The sequence below is a fragment of the Homo sapiens genome, chromosome 11, assembly GCF_000001405.40.
Source record: "Homo sapiens chromosome 11, GRCh38.p14 Primary Assembly".
Classification (NCBI taxonomy): Eukaryota; Metazoa; Chordata; class Mammalia; order Primates; family Hominidae; genus Homo; species Homo sapiens.
Genome location: NC_000011.10, coordinates 4,460,772 through 4,468,474, shown reverse-complemented (window position 1 = coordinate 4,468,474; position 7,703 = coordinate 4,460,772). Strand labels below are relative to the sequence as shown.

General features: G+C 43.9%; 1 annotated feature.

Annotated features, from left to right (window-relative positions):
• Positions 3,454-4,653: an enhancer, noted in NCBI's record as "MED14-independent group 3 enhancer chr11:4485052-4486251 (GRCh37/hg19 assembly coordinates)". NCBI's record gives its function as "activates an origin of replication core promoter dependent on BRD2, BRD4, P300/CBP and CDK7 cofactors, and independent of MED14, by STARR-seq in HCT116 cells {active_cell/tissue: HCT116}" and the evidence as "EXISTENCE:reporter gene assay evidence [ECO:0000049][PMID:35650434]".

Here is a 7,703-nt window from a genome sequence, read left to right as displayed (position 1 = left end):
AGGGCAAAGATGAGGAAATATGGGGTTTGGGCAGAGGGTGAGGTGTGGGAAGTAACTGAGAGTGCCCCCACCCACCTTCCTGCTCACCGCAACTGTTACCTCTTTCCTCTTTCTCCCCAGTTGCAGCTCTGTTCACACTTCTCAGTCTGACTTAAAATTCTGGGCTCTTTCCCTTAGCTCATGCAGCCCCAGTGCCACCTTCCTTTTCTAGTCTAAAGAGTTTGGGAAGGAAGAACCTGGGCAAATAGCAGCTGGCTTTATCCTCACCAACCTCTGCCCTCCTCCCAAAAGGCTGTGGAAGCAGAAACTGCTGCACTTGAGGAGAATCCTCAGGGATCACAGACGGCTCTGGCCTCATCTCTCAGGGCCTTTATAAGGGGACTCCCCTGACCCAGGACTCAAACCCTGAGGGTTTCCTGCCCCATTTAATAGCACTGAGTCATGCCTCCCAGGGATCATGCCCTACTTCCCAGAAGCTGTGAGCATTTTCAGTGGAGCTGGCTTGCACCTTGGACTTTGCTGTGCCTCTCCTTACCTTTACTATCATACTTGCAGTATCTCAAAAGAAAGACCAACTCACTAGAATGTGTACACTGCAGGCAGCTCCTATCCCAATGTGACGTGAAAGGGTAATGATTCCAGTCTGACCAGGCCAAGGTCATCCATTAGGTGTTCTATTTTGCGTGCATATTCTATATTAAACTGAACGCTACATTAACATCCCACTTGTGACCTTGGTTTGGCATTTTCTGATGCTTAATCTGCTTTCTCATCTCTAAAGTAGAGATAATATTCCCAATTTATCATAACTTACAGAATGGATGGGAAATTTATGTACATAATTGAGATGACAGTATAAATGTGAATGTGTATGAATAATGACCGTTCCTCTATAAATGATAAAGGGTGACCTTTCTGCCTACAACTGACTTGAATGTCTATTTTTCAAAGACCTGAGAAGAAAGCTGCTTTTTACCAGGGTTCCTGTCTTAGTCTATTTTCTTTTGCTTATAACAGAATACCATTAAATTGGGTAACTTATAAAGGAAAGGAATTGATTTCTTGCAGTCATGGAGGCTGAGAAGCCCAAGATCATGGGGCCTAGGTCATTCTTGCTGGTGGGGCCTCCCTACAGTCTCAAGGGGCCACAGGACATCCCACAGCAAGGAGCTGAGCATGCTAATGTGCTACCTCAGGTCTCTCTTCCTCTTCTCATAAAGCCACCATTCCCACCACAATGTTAACAAGCTGGTTTGTTAATCCATTAATCTATTCATGAATAGATTAGTTCATACATGAGGGCAGAGCCCATGTGACCCAGTCACTGCTTTTAAAGGCCCCAGTTCTCAGTACTGCCACATTGGAGATTTGTATGGCAGGGACAAATATTCAAACCATAGCATTCTGCCCTGCCCCACCCCCTAAAACTCATGTTCTGACATACAAATACATTCATGCTATCTCTATAGCCCCAGTGTTTTAACTCATTCCAGCACCAACTCAAAAGTCCAAAGTGCAGACTCTCATCTATGAGTCTGTGAAATCAGAACAGGTTATCTACTTCCAAGATACATTGATGCTACAGACATAAGACAGACATTCTTATTCCAAAAGGGAGAAATAGGCAAAAAGAAAGGAATAACGTGCCCCAGGCAAGGCCAAAACCCAGCAGGGCAGACATTACATCTTAAAGCTAGACAATAATTGCTTTTCACTTTATGTAAAGCCTCCTGGCAGCCCCAGGCAGCCCCACCCTATGGCTTTGCTGTGTACTCCACACAACACTGCCTCTATAGGTTTCTGAGGGTTTCCCAGGTAGGCATTGCCTGCTGCTGGTAACGCTACAGTTCTGGCGTCCTGCTTTCATGACACTAGGCATCATCCTGGTAAGAACTCTCTGCAGCAGCTCCAACCCCACATTTTTACTCAGCACAGCTCTAGTGGGGGCTCTTAGCAGGGGTGCAGTGGCTCTGCCCCACAAGTCTCTGCCCCAGCTCCCACGTTGTAATCAACTTCCTGTGAAATCTACATGGAGACTGCCAAGTCTTCACAGCTCTTGCTTTCTGCAAGCCTGCAGGATTAGCACCACATGGACACTGCCAAGTCTTCACAGCTCTTGCTTTCTGCAAGCCTGCAGCATTAGCACCACATGGACACTGCCAAGGCTTAGGGCTTGTATCCTCTTAAAGGGCAAGTCGACCTGCACCTGGGGCTGCTTGGGCCATAGCTGGATCAGCTGAGAAGCACTGAGCCAGAGTAAATTAGGGAGCAGAATCCCAAGACAGCCCTGGGTAGCAAACCTTTGGAGGGTGCCTGGGGCCTCTCTCTGGAAACTATTTTTTCCTTCTAGGCTTCTGGACCTATGATAGGAGTGACAGCCTCAACTATCTTTGAAACGCCTTCAGGGTCTTTCTTCTGTCATGCAAAAGACCACCACAATGGCTAAATAATAGAGGAATTTTATTGGCAATATTAGTTGCAAACCGGGAAAAGATAGTCTCTAACTTGTACCAAAGGTTCTCTCTCTGAAGAGGAAAAGGGCAGACTGGTTTTTATGCTTCACAAGGTGTGTATTACACGATAGTCATACATACTCAGCAGGTTTGGAGAAAAAGCTAATACATATTTATGAGGGGAGTTGAGCATATGCATAGTGGGTAAAGATATATGGAATATACATCTCATGTTCATTTTGGAGTGAGGTTTTAGCATTAAAATGAGGCAGAACTTGGCTCTTTATTTTTGCCTTTTGTCAAAAGACAAACCATAGGACACAAAGACAGTTATGAGCTTGCTGAAACTGGCTTGAGGTCTGCAATTGTTAATCAGGAAAGAGTGTAAGGCAAGTCCTCTGTCTAATCAGAATTGTAGTGGCCTGGGTTGTAAATCACTTAGGAAAGGTTTGACAATCTACCTAATAGCTCCTGTTGTTAGGGAGATTAGCAAGAGTGTGGTTCTTCTTGTAGCCATAAGGAATTTAGGAAGTTACCATGCCAGTCAAGCGTGAATCCTCAACCAGTAGGTAACTTTTGTTTCCTTAAACTTAGGGTCCATATCAGTTGATAAAGGGGCATCTATTTTGGTCTCTCAAATTATACTTCCATTGTCTTGAGGAATGCACCTGGTTCTTTTCAATCCATGTTAATCTCTGTAGCAAACCACGTCTGGGCTACACTCTTGGTTTCCTCTCCTGAGCACACTTTTTCATTCTTTACATCAAGAGGCTGAGAGTTTTCCAAATCTTTCCACTTTACTTTCCTTTTAATCATAAATCCTGTTTTTAAATTATGCCTTTGCTCCTGAATCTCAGTGTAAGGGGCCAAAATTAACCCCCATGAAGCACCTTCTATATTTTGCTTAGAAACTTCTTCAGCCAAGTACCCTAGTTTATCACTGTCAAGTCTGGCCCTTCACGAAGCCCTTGGGCATGAACACAGTTTAGCTAAGTTCTTGGCCAATTTATGACAGCGATGATCTTTACTCCTGTTTTCAATAATTTGTCCCTCAATTCTATCTGAAACCTTATCAGAATGGCCCTTACACTTCATATTTTTACCAGCATTCTGGCCACAACCACTTAATCTCTAAAGAGTTTCAAATGTTCCCTAATCTTTATTTCCTCTAAGCCCTCATCAGAGTCTAGGCTTTTAAGATGCTCCTCCAAATTTGTCCAGCCTCTTCCCAATGTTAGAAACAAATGCTTGATACTGCAAAGAAGAACCAGCACTCAGGCAAAAAGTTTTCTCAGCAAGGCAATTTACTTCTGTAGAATGGTGCAACCTGCATCAGCCACAATTGCAAGAGCACACCAAACAAAGGAGAAAAGGGGTTTTTATCCCTAACGCAATTCCTGTTTGTGTCCTTTCCCCATTGGCTGGAGTTGGACCTTACAATCTAAGCTATCCAGGTTGGCTAAGACTTAAACTTCTCCAAATAGGGAAAAAGACTTAAACTTTTCCAGATAGGGTAAACACGCACTTTGCGAAAGGAGGGGAGGAAGAGATGTCCATTACTAACTAGGCAGGAGGGAAGGCATGTCTGGGCATGTCTGGGTGTGGCAAGGCAGGAAGGGTTGGTCACAGAACAGAGACAACAAGGAAATTTGAAACTTTTTCCAAATAAGGTAGTGAGATGAGGACTTTGAAGACTGAAGCAGGGAGAAGGGCTAATTTACAGTCTTACAACTTACAACAAGAGAGTTAAGTTTTGAAGAGGAAATTGTTCTAACAAATTTTCCCTTTTCCATTTTATAATTCTTTCTCTTCAAAATGTCTTAACGTAATTCGGCTTGGTTGTTCCTCTTGGTAGTTTAGAAGTAGGAATTTATCTGAATAGGGTGGGGGAGAGTGGAGGAAGGCTTTTGTGAGAGTGGTTCTAGAAGCCTTTGCATTAACCCACAAATACAGGGTATGATACAGCAACTTACAAGAATGAGTACACCTATAACAATTGCAAAAGAAGTAAATATTGAAGTCAAGAGTCCTTTCCACTTCCCAAACCATTTCCCATGAGACTTGTAAAAGGGTTATTTATTCCAGAATTTTTAGCTAATTCGTTTTCTAAATTGATAAGGCTTTGCAATGGTTTTGTAATTGTTCCATCAAGGGCCGTGTTATTAGGAATAAAAATACAACATTGAACTCCCATCATGACACAGGCTCCACCTTTTTCAGCTACTATATCAAGAGCTATTCTGTTTTCCCCAGCCATCTGGCTGGTGGCACCTAGTTGTTCAAATATTTCTCTAATGGCATCTCTTTTGTAATTGACAAAATGTTGTTGGTTATAGTAAATGTAATTTACCCAATCTGTTTTTGTTTATAGTCGACCACCAGAATAATACAGATTCAAATCCTGTGGCTATTTGATTTCAGGCTTTAAACTCATCTGGTACCCCCTGGGGCACTCCAATAACATCTATATAAACATGAGGATCAAAAGACCCATGAGGGACACTTCTTTTACTGTGGTGGTGGTTCTTTTTGCTGGGTTGATGAAATGCCAGGGTAAAAGGGATGGCCAATTGTATTAGAACACAAGTGCTGCTCCAGTTACTTGGCAGAGTACCCAATAGTTGTCTACCACAATACCACCATACATCTGCTCAGGGATGAACAAGGGCAGACTGATGGGTTAGTTCTTGGAAAGGTTTAGACTCACTGGATCCAGTTAAGCTTCCAAGGAATGCCACATTTCCCCCCTGCTGTGAGAGACAGGAGGTGAAATTGGCATTTATAGCTGGAGGTTGGATGGATGGCCCTCGGGGGCTGACCTGCAGGACGTTTAGCTTCTGGGAATAGCAGTGAGAGGGTTTGACATGGCTTATTGCCCCAGGCTGTGGGGTTTTGGAAGAGAGCTACCATACAGTCCATGCCTGGGTGGTTGGAGGACCATCCAAGTAGAAAGGGGACAATCTGGGTTTCTGGTCTGCCTGTTGCACAAGCGTAACAATCACTTTTATTTAGTGTACAGATGGAATATTTAATCCATTCTAGCCAGGTATTTGCATCTTGATACCCTGTTTCAATAGCTAAAGTTTGCTTTAGGTCATTGACTTCTACTATAGCTACCTTAGTTTTGTCATTTGATGTGAAGCGAGAAATAGTTTGATTTTGTGGGTTTGGTGAGAGGGTGGAGGAGGAGAAACAAAACACATTTCAAAGAAACCCACAGGGTCCTTTCCAGTTATATCTGCTCCTAAACCATAGAAGTGCTCTAAGGTGGGGTTAGAATTACTGGAGGTAGGGGTAGTAATGGAGATAAGTATTGGGTTGCACTGATGTGTTTGGCAATTGGGATGGGGAAGGTGGTTCCTTTGGTGAGGTGGAGGTAGGGCTTTAGGGCAGAATTTGCAGTCCAGCCCTGATACTTGGTGGTCCATATAACCTCTCCCCAAATATAATAAGTGAGGGCCCATACTGTCCTCCCGGAGGGACAAAGATACTTTTCTGAAGAACTGAGCTGTCTTTGACTTTTTAGGTCCACACAAGATATGGCAAGGCAAGCATCAAATGTAATTGTTTGGGGGAAAAGTGATCGGGTTACATTGATGATAAGGTGTCCTTGGTAACTAAAGGAAAAAGAAGAGGAAATAGGGACAGATTAGACTTTTCATTTTAACGTTACTATGGTGGGAGTTGGCCCTGGAATGATGGTCCATGGCTTTGGAGAGGGTGACACCTTGACTCGGCTATGATGGGTCCACCCCTTTTCAGCAGTTCAGACTGCTGTCTCAGTTGTGAGGAGCATCAGGTAAGGTCCTTTCCAGGTGGGCTCAAGCTTTCCCTCTTTCCAGCTTTTGACAAGGACGTGATCTCTGGGTTGGTGTTGGTGAACTGGGAATTTGAGGGGTGGAGTCTGCACTAGGAGGCCTTGAGTCCTGAGGGAGGAAAGGCTAGAAGACAGACCAAATGTATAGTTTTCAAGGACTGATCTTTTGTTTCAAATTTAGGAAGGTCAGTAGTAGAATTTAGGTAGGGCAGCCCGTAGAGCATTTCATAAGGGGACAGGCCAAGATCTTTCCTAGGGGCAGTTCAGATTCTTAGTAAGGCAATGGGAAGACATTTTGTCCATGGTAACCGAGTTTCAAAGATTAGTTTGGTTAAATGATGTTTTTTAGAGTTTGATTCATTCTCTCTAACCTCCCTGATGAGGGCAGGTGCCAGGGAGTATGATATTTCCATTTTATCCCTAATACTTGGGCTAGCCCCTTAATGATGTATGCAGTGAAGTGGGTCCCATTATCCAAATCAATGTTTTCTATTAGTCCAAACCTGGGTGTGATACATTCCAACAGAGCTTTGACTATATTACTGGCTGTTGTGCTTGGGAAGGGAATGGCTTCTACTCAGTGGGTGAGATGGTCTACTATTAACTAGTAAATACTTGAGGCAGCCTATTGGGGGCATTTCAGTATAATCAACTTGGACACTTTGGAATGGCCTTAACCCTGGATTTCGTCCCTGGGAGGTTGCCTTTTTGAGGTTTGCTTATTTAGTTTCAGGGAAAAGAAATAAAGATCAGACTGTTACTCTGTCTATGTAGAAAGGGAAGATACAAGAAACTCCATGTTGACCTGTACCCTGAACAATTGCTTTGCCCTGAGATGCTGTTAATCTGTAACTTTGCCCCAACCTCTTTGCCCCAACCTTGAGCTCACAAAAACATGTGTTGTATGGAATCAAGGTTTAAGGGATCTAGGGCTTTACAGGATGTGCCTTGTTAACAAAATGTTTACAAGCAGTATGCTTGGTAAAATCATCGCCATTCTCCAGGCTTGATAAACTAGGGACACAATGCACTGCGGAAAGCCGCAAGGACCTCTGCCCTGGAAAGCTGGGTATTGTCCAAGGTTTCTCCCCATGTGATAGTCTGAAATATGGCCTCGTGGGATGGGAAAGACCTGACTGTCCCCCAGCCCAGCACCCGTGAAGGGTCTGTGCTGAGGAGGATTAGTAAAAGAAGAAAGCCTCTTGCAGTTGAGATAGAGGAAGACCACTGTCTCCTGCCTGCCCCTGGGAACTGAATGTCTCCGTATAAAACCCCATCGTACATTTGTTCAATTCTGAGTTAGGAGAGAAACTGCCCTGTGGTGGGAGGCGAGACATGTTGGCAGCAATGCTGCTTTATTATTCTTTACTCCACTGAGATGTTTGGGTGGAGAGAAACATAAATCTGGCCTACGTGCACATCCAGGCATAGTA